At 36.2% G+C, this 16,698-nt stretch overlaps 1 protein-coding gene across 4 annotated transcripts in view; it reads left to right on the forward strand.

The window, feature by feature from the left end:
- The window catches only part of GPC6 (glypican 6), a 1,191,492-nt gene that overhangs the window by 892,877 nt on the left and 281,917 nt on the right, over positions 1 to 16,698 (forward strand). The window contains exon 1 of one of the 4 annotated variants that reach the window (XM_017020302.2): positions 4,718 to 10,147. The exons of the other annotated variants lie outside the window; for them this stretch is intronic. Within the exon in view, the coding sequence (XP_016875791.1) occupies positions 9,964 to 10,147 (184 nt within the window). The 5' untranslated portion in view covers positions 4,718 to 9,963. Of the gene's footprint in view, positions 1 to 4,717; positions 10,148 to 16,698 lie in introns of those variants that run through there. 4 annotated transcript variants of the gene reach the window in all.

The raw sequence follows: 16,698 nt of genomic DNA on the forward strand, positions 1-16,698 counted from the left end.
TAGATGGTATATTTCTTAAGACAGAAACTAGGTTTAAATTCTAAACTATATTTCAAGACTATTTTAGTCTACAATGAAGATTCAATGACTACTTATCCTAAAGTATGGCATGACAGACAGCATCATACCACCTAGATATTAATGAGAAGAAAAACAAACGTCTTAAGTAGTTGTCGAATTCAGTAAGCAAAAACGCTACTATTTCTGGAAACAGGGTCTGCTATTCAGTTACAGGAGTCTTTTCGAATGTAGTCAGTATGGTACCTACAAACCATGATTTGTGTGTATTATGGACAAAAATTCATCATAATTCTAATAGAATGATTTTAAAGCCAAGTCAGCTTGGAGTATTTATACAGCTTGTATTTACTTTTGCTAAAATAATTGAATTTGTAACAATTATAAGGCTGCCCAGATCTCTTTAGTGATGAGTATTGATTATTACACTCAGAAGCTTTCCCTCATTAAAAATAAAGTGTTCTAGTCATTGTGGCTCCATCAACAGACCTTAGTGTCATTGTTACAGTAATCATGTGCTTGATGGATATATTGGGACCTCTTTAAAGCTTCAGTTGTAACATAATGATTTGCAAAGCTTTCAAAAGTTAATTATCTTGAGTGTCCCAGATAAAAACAAATGTTTCATCACCCTGGACTAAAAAAAAAAAAAAAAAAAGAAAAGAAAAAAAGCTGTAGTGATAGGCAAGGGTCACCATAGGAAGAGCATCTGCAGAAGTCTTAATGACTTCTTGTCTGTGATTCAGAGTCCAGTGGGATACGAGCGTAGAAAATTATTCAGATATTTGGGGTGACAAATATCTGAGTAAATGTGAAATCATTGTCAAGGAGTAGTGGAAGATGAGATCAAGAAGGGCCAGGTTATAGAAAACCATGACTTCCAGGAGAGGCATGTAGAATTATGGAGTACTCAGTAGAGAACACAGATGGTTCCTAAACAGGGGACTAATACCTTAATTTAGAAAAACCTATCTGCCTATTATAGTAAGTGAAGTAGAGTAGAGGGTGGAGGACTGTGTGAGGTTGAAAATGGGGCCGAAGGGAGATCTTGAGGCAAGTAGAACAGTAGGAGAAAGATTTGATAGATGCCTGGCAAAAATTCATAAGGGAGTGATCCTTTAAGACAGAATGGAGGAGGGGTTAGAAAATAACAGAGGAGATTTTTGAGGTGTATGTGGCTATGTTAGGTGAGTGATCAAATGTAAGGCAGGGAAGGCTGGAGTCAAAGAAAACATTGAGGCTTGAAGTTTGGGTAATGTTTAAATAATTAATGGAATTAGTTAAATTAAAAATAAATCATTTAATAGTAACTGATGTTATAAAAGATTTAGATGTGTAGAAGTGAAAATACTAGCAGAAAAACCAAATAGAAATATTCATCAGTGTTAAGCTATATATTATTCGACAGTACATTTCTCTTTGTGAAAATGTACAAGAATTTTTGTTTATTTATTTTTACCATGGAATTACTGGCTCATAAAATATGACATTTTCAATTTTATTTGATAGTGCTGACTTGTTCTCTGGAGCAGTTGTACAAATATAAGTTTCCCTTAGCTCTTTATGAGTTTTACTTCTCCAATGCTTGTTGTGTTACTTACATTTTGAACATTGCGCTAACAGCATCTAATTAGATAGCATTTCCCTGATTGCTGATAAAAATGAGCATCTTTTTCATATGTTTAATAGTAATTCAGAGTCCCTGTTCTCTAAATATCCTATTCATATTCTTTGCCCATTTTTTCTATTATATTTTGTTTTTTCTCGTTGTTATTGTAGGTGTTCTTTATAGAATATGATGCTACTCTTTTGCAAGTATGTTTTTCCCATCTGTCTCTTTTAATTTCACATATGTTCCTCTGTTTCTGAAATGTAAATCTGATTATATTGCCTAGGTAAGGGAGGGAGAGCATTAGGACAAACACCTAATGCAAGCAAGGCTTAAAACCTAGATGATGGGCTGACACGTGCAGCAAACCACCATGGCACATGTATTACTATGTAACAAACCTGCACGTTCAGCACATGTATTCCAGAACTTAAAGTAAATATAATAATAATAATAATAATAATAATAATAATAATAATAAACTTCTTAATTTAAAAAAACTCTATTTACTCATGGACATTTTATCCTACAAGATTCACCTGATATGTCAGTGCTCCTGTGAATTATTCTCTGATTTCTTATGTGAAAGATCTGTCTTTCCTTTCTTCTTCCTTATGTACTTTGTACTCCATAATATAGAATCATTATAGCACTTCTGACAATTGATCGTATTGGTTTATTTACATGACAGTCTAGATTGTAAACTCCTTGATGGTTTTCTTCACCTTAGTACTCCCAGAAGCTGGCCCAGGGTCCAGGATAGAATGGGTATTCAGTAATTGCTTTTTGATGTGAATTCCCTTTGAAAAAGGAAGATACCATTTACACTTACTTCTGAGAGATTTTCACCTTTTTGAAGCCGTGGACCCTGTCTCTCTCACTCATACTCATATTCCACTATGATGTCAATCCTCACATAAGAGATGCTGAATTAACATAACCATGATCTCCAGCTAATCAACACACTTGAACCACTGTTTTTCTTTACTCTTCCCAAGAAAAGTAAACATCGTAAAGAAAATAATTTTCATCTATACATCTTTAAAATTGTCATTAAAAGGTAAATATATTCACTAGACATTTGCTGTAACTTTTAGAAAAAACTAAAATGTCGATTACAGACTTTGGTATTGCCATGTTTTTTAATGAAGATGATTAAAATAACTTTGGTAAATAACTCCAAAGTAATTTAGTAAGTTTCTACTCAAAATGTATTTGAGATTCAAATATATGCCTAGAGGGCTACCAATTCACAAAAATATATTGTTATTTCATTTGCTAAAGTACAGTTCTTCAAATTCTTAACAATCTACCGCCTTCCTTGTAATGTGCTAGGGTGACCTAATTTGTTGGCAGCCTCCGCTAGGATGTGGTAGTGAGGTTGATCTCTGGAATTCGCACACACACTCATTAACCAGATGCAGATGGTCAAATAACAGCTATCAGATTGACTCACTTTGAACTCCTTAAAACTTATGTTACACACTTTGGGTCCAAGTTCCCTTTCCACAGCATCATCTTAATACCTAAAGGACAGTGACAGCCTGGAAAATTGCATATTCTTTTCTTTTAGAATTTGCTTCCAAGCTTTCTTATCTTTGCTTTGCTGCATATTTTTAAGGTGTTATTTTTTTGTTAAGCATCAGTGCTATCTTAAGTATGACTGGCACATCTTTTATGTGGCTCTGTAGCATCACGGATGATACTTTTTGGAGCTGACACTCTTCTTATTAAAAGTGCCATTTTATTTTCTTTTTATTTTTGTCTGTAGATACAGATTGCCGAAAGAAAGGAATTTTCTTTTTCCTTTTTTTTCAGTTAAACTACTGCTACCTAATACCTAATTTTTATTGATGATAGCACATGCAAAAATGGACGTTAATGCTCTGCTAGCTCCTCCTGGCTGTGGTGATTGGAGTTGGGCCTGTTAATTAGTTACCCACACTCACAGAGGATTTGATTAGATACTTAATTCTCTTTGGCAACTCTTAGAGCCTGTCATAAAATGTTTTTTGAAAGAAAGTGTGCTCTTTTCACATAATTTCATTAAGAACTTTTTCTCAGGCCTTGGAATACATTGGCAATCTCAAATAAAGTTCAAAGAACACCATTCTGATGGAGCAGGTCACTTTTCTAATTTTAACCTAAGATCTTTATAAACTCCACGTGACAGACTTTTCAGCCATAAAATGTTACCCATTGTCTGTGTTCTATGAATAAAAAGCACAAGTGGGAATGCTACAGTTCACATTTGTGAGCTGCTGAGTCTTGAGTTTTTATTTTTAAATGGACCCTCAGGAGCCAAAAAAAAGTTAAGTTAATCATACTCTCAGTTCCTAGCTCATTATTATCATCCATTCCTGCAAGTCTTGTTTCATTTCCTTCTTCTTACCCAGTACTCCTATTTCCCAGCAACCCCCATTCACTCTAATGACTTTGATGAATGTCCTTAAATATGTGTGCACCTTGTACAATATGCAGCATTGTGAAGTTTCCATGTTTTCAAGGATAATAAGCTTTCCAGTGTCAATAACCTTGTTTACTATTACTTGAACAAACTGCAGCTTTAGCTAATGCATAAAATATGTAAATGAAGGAGCCATAGGATGTTAGGGAAAATATTCAAATCCAGCCAACTAGGAAGTGATTTCTTGTTTGTGAGGTATTTAGACCGTGCTAGGTGGCCTTTATTAAACAGTGACTATAGGCCGGGCATAGTATCTCACGCCTGCAATCCCAGCACTTTGGGAGCCTGAGGTGAGAGGATCACTTGAAGACAGGAGTTCTTGACCAGCCTGGCCAACATTGTGAAACCCTGTCTCTACTAAAAAATACAAAAAGTAGCCAGATGTGGTGGCACATGTCTGTAGTCCCAGCTACTTGGAAGGCTGAGGCACGAGAATCACTTGAACCTGGGAGACAGAGGTTGCAGTGAGATCTCGCCACTGCACTCCAGCCTGAGTGACAGAACAAGACTCTGTCTAAAAAAAAAAAAAAAAAAAAGCCCAGTGACTATTACCCATTCACCCATTCATAGAACTAAGGTTTTTACCTTAGCTTTATCAAAAAAAAAAAAAAAAAAAAAAAAAAAAGCAAGATGGTGTTCTTATTCCCATTTTCTAAATTAAAAAAAAAATTCTAAGAAAGGTAAAGTGACCAGCCAAATGGCACACACCTAAATTTTGGTTCTGGGATTAAATCTACATGTGTAGTCTTCTCTCTCAAAAATGGAATGTTTCTTGTCTTTGGAAACTCCAAGGACAAAAAGATGTCTTAAAGAGATTGGGAAAGATTTGCTTGAGGAAGGATCATATGGCCTTGGCTTTGAAGAATAGATCTAATTTGGTCAGACTGGTAGGAGAAAGGCTCATTGTAAGGAAGCAGGCGGGGGTATATTCAACAGGAAACAGTTTTCCTTGGCTGAGCTGCAGAGATGACCATTAGAAAGTGGGAAAGGCAGACTGAACCTAAATCATTAGGCATGATCTATTAGGCTGGGAAGTTTGGTTCTGTCTAAAAAATACAGAATTTTATCTTGTAGGATAGGTTAGGATAGTGGGTGGGGTTGGGAGTAAATTTATTCCTCAGGTGTACGTATAGAAGTTTAAGCTATGACATACAATGACTAACCAGCTATATTACCATTGAAGCTTACATATTCCTATCTGGTTTCAAATTTTACACAACCAAGGTGAAAAAGATAAGACCAAGAACCAAAATAATCAGAAGAGAAAATATTAAAAATGATAGTTACTGAGGTCTTGTTAGAAGCCAAGCTTAATGCTTTCCATGTATTGTCTCAAGTAATCTTCATAATAATTCTAAATGGTAGTACTGTTTTTTTTTCCATTTTGCAGGTTTAGAAAACGAGACATAAAAGTAAGATGGCTGACTCAGAGTCAAAAAGCTAGTTCATGGCCACCGGCCATGAGAATCAGTGTGTGTCTGATTCTCAACCATTAAACTCTATTGTCTCCAATAAGTAAATGGTTAAATGTGTGATAAGAGCCAACTAGTTTAAACTCAAGGCAGTGTTGGGAATATTTTATCTGATTTCAACTGAGAAAATAGAAAGTGTACAAGTGCTCTCCAAGGAAACCAGGCCATAGGTTTATAGAATGAAATCATAACTTTGAAGGATGTACTTCATCCTCTCCAAGTACTTAGGCAGATAGACCTGTACATTTTAATACAGTCATGTGGCTGCAAATGTCCTCCAGGGGGCCATTTAGCTATCTCCTTTTTGCACCTAAAGGTTTTGTAAAGATTTGAAACGCACTGGTAATGAGGTTTATGTCAGAGGCAAGGGGTTGGTGGGGGGGTGTCAAAGCTTTAGTATTATGTAGGTTCAACTGTTACAAGGGAGATGGTCCCAGCTGAATTTTTTAAGCAAGGGGAAATAAATCTCTTCAAACAAAGGGACTGCTTTTTCTTTCATTCAACCTGATTTCTCTGCCTCTGGGCTAGTCTTTCATTTTACGTAGTCACAGAGAACAGACTCATTGACCCTTCCTCAGGTCCCAAACCAGCTAGTCATGACCAGAATTTGGTGATCTGTAATCCAGGTAGAAGAGATGTGAGGATTTTGTTTACGTGTACACTGGTAGCTCATAGAAACCTGTGTATTCTAAAGGAGAAATTCCTGGCCCAGTAACTGGAATTCCTAAGTTCTCAACACAAACCTACGAACATTTCTATGTGGATGCTTGATGAAGGATATTTATACCATTTCTACTTTCTTAAACTGTAAAAATTAGACATTTTAGCTTTATACAGTTTGTGTAGTCCTATTTATAAATCACATTATAGTAAATAAGAATATTTTTTCAGTTTACAAAAATAGCTTAATATTTATAGAAGTCCTACGGTGATTCTTTTCACTCTCTGAATTAGTTAATTTTACGTATCAAGATTTCTTAATGAGGGGCCTGTATTGCCCCATACCTATTTCATAGAAATATTGTAAGGACTCAAGGTTTAGAAACCCCTAATTTTCTGAGATTGATATGAAAATATAGGATAATTATAAATAATAAGTATCAGCATTAAGTGCTTTAGTAATTTAGTTATAATTTAGTAATTTAGTTATAAATTAGACATTTTAACAAATTGTGTTTACTGGGGAGAGAAGACAAATAGTTAACTAAATAGTTCCTGGATGCTGGGAACTTCATGTATCTTAACTCCTTTAATCTATACAGCACCCCCATTTACCATATCAGTGCACATGAATGAAATGCCTACTACATTCTGGAAGTTGCGCTTGATATTGGTGTTACGGTGGTGAACGAGACAGATACAGCCTCCAAACTCAGAAAGCTAAAGAACCAGAGAAAATTAAAAGAAGTCCCAATTGTCATATGTAAAGGTGCACAAAGGGTTGGAAGGGGACAGGGGACCTTACATATTAACATTTCATTCTGAGCCCCTGAACACATTGAGCTTAGAATTCACATGCATAAAAGGTGGGCAGGCTTTTATGGTTAATAAATATGACCATGTATGGCTGTCCAAAGCCCTTGGTTTCTTTCCTGTCATATTATCCTGCCTCCTTACAATAATTGATCATTTCCCAGAAGATAACTTTCCATTTTAAGCATTGAAACAAGTATGCCTTGAATAAGCAAGTGTTCACATTAGCGCTTACGTTTGTATTCTACGATGGAGAATGAACTCATGGTCTTTCCTATTTCCATCTTCCCTGATGATGATTCTGTGGCTACAGTTGCCTAGACACTGCCTTCAAGGATATTTGAGTGAAGATGACAGCAATTAAAAGGAGTAATGGTTTTCAAAAGCAGTTGTTCTAACAAGCTGCTGCCCAGGTTAGGTGAGCATGTTAACATCAACTTCTTTGTCAACCTTCAAGGCACTGTCATAATGAGTTGATCTCTTATTATTATTATTATTTTAATGAAAATGAGACATAACAGAGTTTGGGGTTCTTTTCCCCCCCAAATACAGTACTATGTTTCTGAAGCCCATGAGATTACTTGAGCATTGGAGTATTTCAATTACCCTTGCAGTGCACTAAGGAGCAGCGACGTTAATATCTTGTTAATTCCATAACAATCATTGTTCCTTACTTGGTATCCAACATAGCTGCACAAGCATTCTGCCTAATAATAAGACTGCTTTCTTCCCCTAAATGATTTATAATGCACAGGAAAATCACTCATTATGGACTCCACCTCACTGACTCTGCTTTTAGCACCAGACACATAGTGTGGCTTGGTCAGAGAAACCCAGGGCTTAATTATAATTCCAAAGGTGTTGTATCCTGAATAATAATTCTATGTCATTAACAAATGGAAATCCCAGGCAATTATTTGAGTAGGTGAATAACATCAAGGGTAGATGTTATAACCAACTTTTATTATTCCTGAAGAAGAAATGTCACTCGGAATTTGGCTTCTATCATTGGTCTTAATTACCATTTACAATATAGGGCTTAGAGAACAATTACCTAAATCACACATGCTCATAAAGAATCATGGGAAGAGGAAGAAGAGGTGGTCAAGGCAAATCAAGTCATCCTGTTTATTGGACTCCTTCATTTGTTGGCTCAGAACATATTTACCAAACACTTGCTCTATGCCAGGTTCAGTGTTAGGACCTGCAGACAAGAAGAGAACAAAGTAAGTGGTAGAGAAAGGAAAGAACACTTAAACTTCAGCAGGCACCATGGACCAACGGTCAATTCTCAGTTCTGCCTATAGGATGCCCCATTTTAGGCCAGCTTCCCATTTATTGCAATTACTCATTGGGGCAAATGAATAACACAAATACATCTGGTTTTTCATAGGTGAAGATGATTTCTGAATATAGATTTGGAGGTTATTGGCATATGAGTAGGAGCATGCTTGGAAAATTATTTTCCTGAGGACATGTAATTTGGAAACATTGAAAACTTTTTGAAATGAAGGTTGTAATGTTTGAGATATGTTTCTGCTTTAACATATCCAAAATGATTTCTAAAGTCCATGTAAAAGGAAGATTTTAATGTAAAATTGCCTATTATTAGATTATTAAAATTATTGAATATGGAAGAAATATGAAGAAGAATGGTGACTGATGTGGTTTGTCTGTGTCCCCACCCAAATCTCATCTTGAATTGTAGTTCTCATAATCCCCAAGTGTCATAGGAGGGACCCAGTGGGAGATAATGGAATCATAGGGGCAGTTTCCACATGCTGCTGTTCTCGTGATAGTGAGTGAGTTCTCACAAGATCTGATGATTTTATAAAGGGCTTTTCCCCCTTTGCTTGGCAGTTCTCTCTCCTGCTGCCATATGAAAATGGATATGTTTGCTTCCCCTTCTGCCATTATTTTAAGTTTCCTGAGGTCTCCCCAGCCGTACAGAACTATGAATCAATTAAACCTCATTCCTTTATAAATTACCCAGTCTCGGGAAGTTCTTTATAGCAGCATGAGAATGGACTAATACAGAGACGATCAGGAGAGTCTTAGATATTGACAGATCTTCACTTTTGCCAATCCCAAATCATTTCATGTGAACATATGGCGTTTCTCCTTCTCTTTTTCTATTTGCCCTGCATTATTCTTTTCTTGTTTCTCATGTCTTGTGTCCCTGTTCAGGAAAACTCATACTTTCTCTTTTAGTCAAGGTTTCTATTGCTTTTTGAAGTTTATTCTCCCTTCTTTAGCTATAGCCACCTTTCTTGAACTAGTTTAAGTTCCTGCCTTGATTTCCTTCAGTGATGAGAAAATTTCCTGTCTCTAAGGGAGTTCAACAGAGTCAGGCTCCCATATGTTGTTCTAGCAGAAAGAGAAACCTACTATATGCCAAAGAAACACTTCCTGTGCTTTACTTCTGCTTCAGAGAGTGTCTCTGGGCATAAGCAGGCTCCTCGACTAAACCTCCAGTAAGAAGTGTCCATCAGCATCACAGCCATAACTCAAATCTAGATATTCAAATTCCTGGCCTGTATATACATTATGTATGTGTGTGTGTGTGTGTGTGTGTGTGTGTACACTTGCATATATGTATGTGTATATATATATACATTTAAAATTACAATATATGTGTGTGCATATATGTATAAAATCAGAATTCTTGTTAATATCCTCATATATTCACTCATTTATTCAATAATATTACTGAGCACCTACTATATGCAAGCCACTATTCCAGGTCGTTGGTATCTAATGCACAAAACAAAGCCTGAGCTGTGTTGGAGCTTACATTCTGGAGAAAAAAAAGGGACAACAATGAAGTAAAAAGTAAAAGATGCAGTATGTCAGTTGGTGATAAGTGCTCTGAAGAAAAATAAAGCAGAGAAGGGAGCCTAGGAGAGCCAAAGGAGGGGTAGGGGATGTTTGCTCCTTTAAATGGCGTGGTCAGGGAAAGCTTCACTGACAAGGTGACCTTTGAGCAGACAACTGAAGGCGGTGAAGGAGCAATAGGGCAGGGGTTGTGGGGGAATAGCATTACAGGCAGGAGAAACAGCAGGTGCAAAGCCTGGAGACAGGACTGTATTTGGCTTTGTCCAGACCCAGGTAAGAATCGTTTCTCCAAATTACACAACTTGGCTGAGGGCAGTGGGCAGGAGAAGCACCATACACAGAAAACACTGTGACCAGTGCCCCCTGGAGTTGTGCAATGAGTCTGCCCTTGCAAGGACACCAGTGTGGCTTGAGTAGAGGGAAGCGAGCCAGATCTCAGAGTGCCTTGTAGACCTGTGTAAGGACTTTGTTTTACTCAGCAGTATGCTAGTAAATGTTTAACAATCAGCTCTTGGGGGAATGAAGGGGAAGAGATTTGACTTTGATTTGTAGCATTTGTCAATTGCTATAGTGGAAACAGTCACACCAGGGCTGAGACTAAGCAGGACGTTGCTGAATGTGGAGCTGGGAAGGGAAGTGCAGCGGTACCAACGCTCATATAGTATTTCTTACATATAGATAAAATAGATGTAAATAGCTGCAAGAGCATAGATGATATAGTAAAGCGTAATAGGAAGGGATGAGTTTTGAGAATGAGTTACCTATGTTTTAAATATAATGTATATAATTATATGTTTATGTAATTTAATTTTTAAGAATGGCTGCGTTTCTCAAGCTTGCAAAATTTGTCAGCTCTCTTGAGCTGGTATGAGCTGGCTTCAGCACACCACTGGATTTCCTCGGAGTGAGGGCTCATAAGCAGTAGACATACACCACCAGACTGTAGAAGGATCGCAGTGCTGTTCTGAAAACAGGTGATAGGTGGTCAAAGGCAGGAGCAGGGAGACCAGTGAGGAGGTTTTCCAAAACCTTTAGGATTCAGCAGAAAACATTTGGACAAACCCTGCACCTGCCCATGGTTTCCCTCCCAAGTAGCTTAAGAGCATGAGAGTATGATCCTGGCCTTAGTCACTTACCTTAATTCCTCTATTCTTAAAGGCCAGGTTTCTTCCGGTTAATGTTTCTGAAATCAGGATTAAGTTGGGATGCATCTAGAAACTGATCATGTACACTTAATACATATGGTTTCTTTTTTTTTTTTCCCCTGAAAAGCTGGTATGAAATCAATGTGGGTTTAGCAACTGATAGCATTTTACAACTGAGAAAACATTCTGTTTTGCTTTGTGAACCACAGAATTGATCGTAGTATTGTTTGTGCCCCCACAATTGAATACAACTGATAAAGGCTTTGGAATATAAATATAGACTTTATAAATAAAGCCTGAGGAAATTGAGAGTGTTTTAGTAGGAAAGACAAACACTAAGATGTGGGGAAAGGTGTAGGAGGAATCAATGAATCAGGTGTTCAGGAGAGCCAGTGAGTTCTTCTCTGATTAAATAAGATAGACAGCCATCTAGGGATGTGATTTAAGGAGTGCTACCTCCCTTTCCCAACAGCCGGCAAAGACAGATTATATTCCCACTAGTTCAGTTCTCTGGGCTTCAAGCATTGTCTCTGGGTGATCTCTGTTAAAATGTCTGAGAGTGACCCAGGAGGCAAGGCACATTCACAGAGGGACCATTAAAAAGATTAATGGGAGGGAAACACCCAAAGGAAATGAGGCTAGAAAATGTTAATGGAGAATCAACGCTGGGTACAGATCTAGTGCAGAGTCTTTCAGAGCCTAGTCATGACTAAACCTCTTTCAACAGGTCCCTTTGACTTCAGCAAGCTTACACCACCATGTGCTGTTGGGGTACCATACCTCTGCCACACCACTTTCTTCCATTGTAATGACTGCTTATCTTCATTCTTGTGTTCCCAGAGTGGGCCCTGTAGAAGCACAGGAATAAAGACGGTTGGCATTAGTTTTACACAAAACCCACAGATTAATTCTACCTTTATTGTTTTCTCTCTAGCCAAGGATAATTACTTTTGTATATTATCCTATCGCACTTTGCAGTTTTTATAATGTCACATCCAAATCTCAGTTTATTAAATAACTCGAAACACAAAAGTCATTCAATAAAAATGTTTTTCAAGCAGTAATTATCCCTTAGGAAGAAAAGTTTCATTTCTATAACTGGTAAAAATAATTTAACGTGAATATAATGGACATTGGATGATTATCATCTTTGAAATTAGGATACACGGCAATACTTAACGATATATTATCTGTTAAGCGTTATCAATTTAGATGAGGGCTGGAAGCCAACATGATTGTGAACCCAAATAAAACATAGACACAGAGATATTTGTAACTATCCAGTTATTAGGTTAGTCATCCAGCTGATTTTTTTAAAGATTATCATCAGTACTTCCTCTTAATCTTAAAATAGAGCTGTACATTGCACCTCTCCAGGGTCTGTGGATTTCTATTGAATCAGCATTGTTCATGTTCAAGATTCTTCACACTCAGTAATACAGGAGTCCTTGGGCTACTGTGCTCCTCCTACCCAACCACTCATTCCATGCTTCAGCACAACTGTTCTGATATGAGTCATATCTTTATCTACTAGGATTCAGCATAAGATTTCATTTGGAAAAAAGAGTCTTGGTGCTACCGTTAAACAATTTTAAAACTACTGGTCTAGTTTATGGGGCACCCTAAAAGATAGACTATGTCTGAATGGAATAGTGCTTGGAGGGGTAAGAAATAATGTGAAAGGTCCTTCTTGCAGGATTATTATATATAAATAAAAAAAAGTTTTCTATTTGTAAGAGGTATAAAAATGAAAGCCACAATTTTTTTTAAAATATAGAGAATACACCTGATTTTTTGGAAACTACTGTGTGCCATGTTTTGTGTTGGGCACTTTGCAGGCTTTTCTCATTTAATCCTCTATGAAGTCTCATTTGACTTCATTTTATGGAGCAGGAAAATTAGATACTCAGATTGTTCTGCCTGCATCTAAAGTCAGGTCCAGTCTGACTGCGTTTCAAACTCTTGGAACCTCTGACATTTACTCAATATTTTAAAGTGTGTATTATAAATAACTGTCTCCCTGAGGTGTGTTAGGTTTGGCTTTGCCCAAAGTTAGTAATTAGGTTGGATGACCAGTCCTGCAACTCCAGCCTGTTGGCCAACTTTCCTATTTGATCTGAGACTCGTTACAGGGCAGTTTTGGCATGGGTAAGAAAGGAGATGAGAAATAGATGAAACCACACTGCAGGATTAAACCTGAAATGTTATTTGGTGGAAAAAGTATTCCCAGGCTAAACTCTAGTTCTTTCATTCACTACTCTGCACACGTCATAAATCAGCCAGAAGAGAGCTATTTCCATATTTTAAATTGCTGCAAAAATCTCTCCAACTTCCTCATTTTGCAGATAAAGCTTCAACATTATATGAAGCAGTGTATGTTGAATTTTAATGCTTACTTCAGAAATCATACTTACTCACTTTGTGTGTTTTTGACGCTCTTCTTACATGCAACCATGACCTAATTTGTTTGCAGAACATGTTTACTTCTGTAGTGGTTTATTATTAAAATGTTTCTAAGCTTCTGTCTTAGCTATTTAGAAAGCTAAAGAAAGAATCCCTGTTGCCTTTGAATAATGTATTGGCCCTTGCTAATATCTTACTGAAATAGCTCAAACCCAGTTTAAAAAATCATTTCATAATATTTTAGCCATTCTCATATATGAGTTATATTATAAATGTCATAAATCTTTTCAAAATGTTAAAACTTAAAAAAACTGTGAGACATAGACAAAATACTATTAGTAAATATTTAAGTATCAATATTTGAAAACGTTACAGAAATATGCTTTAAAAATATCTACAATGACAAAAATATATGAGCTAGAAAATCCTTAAATTAAGTCTGAGCTATAAAATGTAGAGCCATATTAAATGTCACTTTGCATTCAATTTGAAGGAAAAAATTAAGAAACCAAAACACTTTGTTAAATACAAACACTTCCCCAAAAAATGTTTAACTCTTAATCATGTTAATATATATTTTAATCCTATTATGAAACAGGTATATCAAACATATATACTTAAGTTACTGGATATGTAAACTTAATTCATATACCTTGTTCTTTAATAGTCATCTCTTGTTGCATAAGGCATCTTATATCTCTCTCTATTCCTAGTCTTGGTTACTAAGATATGATGGTATAAATATCATCATGAGATAACATCTTATTTATCATTTTTCAGAAACCAAGAGTTAAAAACTTCCCAAAATGCCACAAATCTTTGAGCTCTTAAGCAACTGTGTGTGTGTTTGTATGCATGCACGCATATGTTTGTATTTGAAAAGGGAGTGGGGGAGGGGGTAAGATAGTTATAATGCATGTTGTGATTTATTGGATACTAATCTTGGGAACACAAGATTACATTTCAAAGGTCAGCTTTGCAGTCATGAAAAACAAAGATTCTGCATGTTTGATGCTAATGAGCCCTGTTTATCCAGTGTGTGAAGTAAGACAAATATTAGATTAAATCTAAATCACAGAATGTTCTTATTATAGATAGAAGCCTTTCTGGGAGCAGATGTGCTAATACTAAATAGAACACTGCTATAAAATGTTTTCCTGAATTACTGAAGTAAATAAGATACACTAATGAAAATGGGGAGGGGGAATCATTTATAAAATTAAAATCTTGTAAAAGCACAATTAGAAGAGTCTACTACCTTTAAAAATGTGACTTTATAGCCCCGTATATTCCTTTGAAAAATAAAGTCCTTCCTAAAACCATGATTTCCAAGTCCATGGGTTTATTTAGGTATTCTTTAAGCACTTCATTTTTACAACATGACTCTTGATTGACATCCCATTACTTACATGCCATTCAAATTGTTCTCAGTTTCCCATTTCCTACTTTTTCCTTTCAATTTTGTGAATTGTGTGCATCTTGGTCATTGGGCTCATTTATTCATTCAACAAATGTTTCCAAAAAGCCCATCATGCACTAAGTCTAAGCTCAGCTTGGCACCTGTGATGCAAAGATAATCAAGTCATGATTCCTGCCTTCAGTGAACTCATCATATGAAAACAAAGAAAGAAGTGATGAGTCCATGTGGACAAATCAGAGAAGACTTTATGGTCTTGGAGAACAGGACTTTCTAGGCAGTAAAGGGGGTGAAAAAGCACACACTGGGGGATAGAGGAGAGGTAAACATTGACATTTGGGAGGAGGTATAGAGTAAAAGGGGGAAACGGGTCAAGAGAAGGCTGGCGAGGCAGAAAGGAGGTACACTGGGAATGCCCTCTCGCTCACATTCAAGAGTTTGAACCTCATTTCACAAGGATCTCAGAGTCCCTGAAAGGTTTTTAAGAATTCAATTTGTAGAGACAGAGATTGAAAGCAAGGACACAAGTCAGAATTTCTAACTGTCCCTTTAAAGATAATATGAATAATATAAAGACACAACTTGTCTTCTTCCAAAGCCTATCATTTTTCCATTTCTCCCCAAATGGAATGGCAAGAAGGAACCCTAGAGGTGGAACTAACTCATCAGGAGAAACTGTACTTTGCCAGGCAATTTGTGTGATAAACTGAAAAACAAGCAAGCAAACAAATAAACAGAAAAGGTAAAAAATAATTTTTTTTTACCAAGCCATTCATAAATTAGGAAAGAATCTCTCCTAACAGTATTTTCTGTATTTTTTCACTTAACCTTAAATACAAGAGTGGAGCTAAGAGCCATCCATGTGTCTCTGATAAGTAAATTACTTTTACAAGACACTGTATCTGTGCTCCTTCTATATGTGTGTACCATTTTTTCTATGTAAAAGATAGTTATGTAAATTTCTATTTTATGAACCAATAATAGCAATGTATAAACAAGACAGGTGTATTTTATGACAATGTCTTGTATGAAACATATCATTTGTATCTCAAAAAAAGGAACCTGCCTTAACAGAAATTCCTTCTCTACAATCTAGATGCTTTAAGTATCAGAAATAGCTCGTCTTATGATCCTATGAAAGGTGCCATGTGCATTTTTTTTCCCAGACTGAGGTTTCTATCTATATCATGATATGTTCAGTTCAGTGAGAAGCATTCAATTTATCACCAAATACTACTGCTTTTAGGGAAAAAGGCTTTTAAAAATATAGTTATTCATTTTGAAAAACTCTCTCTTTCTGAAAACCACTAGAAAGTCAAATAATCTTATCTTCCTGATCGTGTTCACAGCCTTGGAAATCCTGGGAGCAAACCACCCAGGAGAGACCTGCACTGCTGGCCCAGCCAGGCTGATTCTGAACACTGACTCATGTTATGTCTCTCAGGTGTTGTCAAATTTTAAAGGCCAATTTCTTGCCTTTTTTTTTTTTTAAATACAAAATAGTTAAATGAAGTCAGCAAAGAAATGAGCGTGGAGCACTGCTGTGTACCCACCAATCCTTAAAAGTTACATTATAAACTCCAGACCTTTCATACACATAATAAGGTTCATTAAATACTTGTTGAAAAATATGCATTTTATGAAATAAGTAACTAAAAAACCATTTCTGTGCAATATTATATCTTACACAATGAATATCAGTAACATCTCATGTAAATATATCTCCATGTAAATGAATATATACATTATTTTATGTGTATGGAAAATTTTAAACAATTAAAGAAAAATATAAGGAGGGCATCATGATAACAACCAAGGCGAGATTAAGACTACTCAAATAAAGCAATACCAACTGGGCA

The sequence above is a fragment of the Homo sapiens genome, chromosome 13, assembly GCF_000001405.40.
Source record: "Homo sapiens chromosome 13, GRCh38.p14 Primary Assembly".
Classification (NCBI taxonomy): Eukaryota; Metazoa; Chordata; class Mammalia; order Primates; family Hominidae; genus Homo; species Homo sapiens.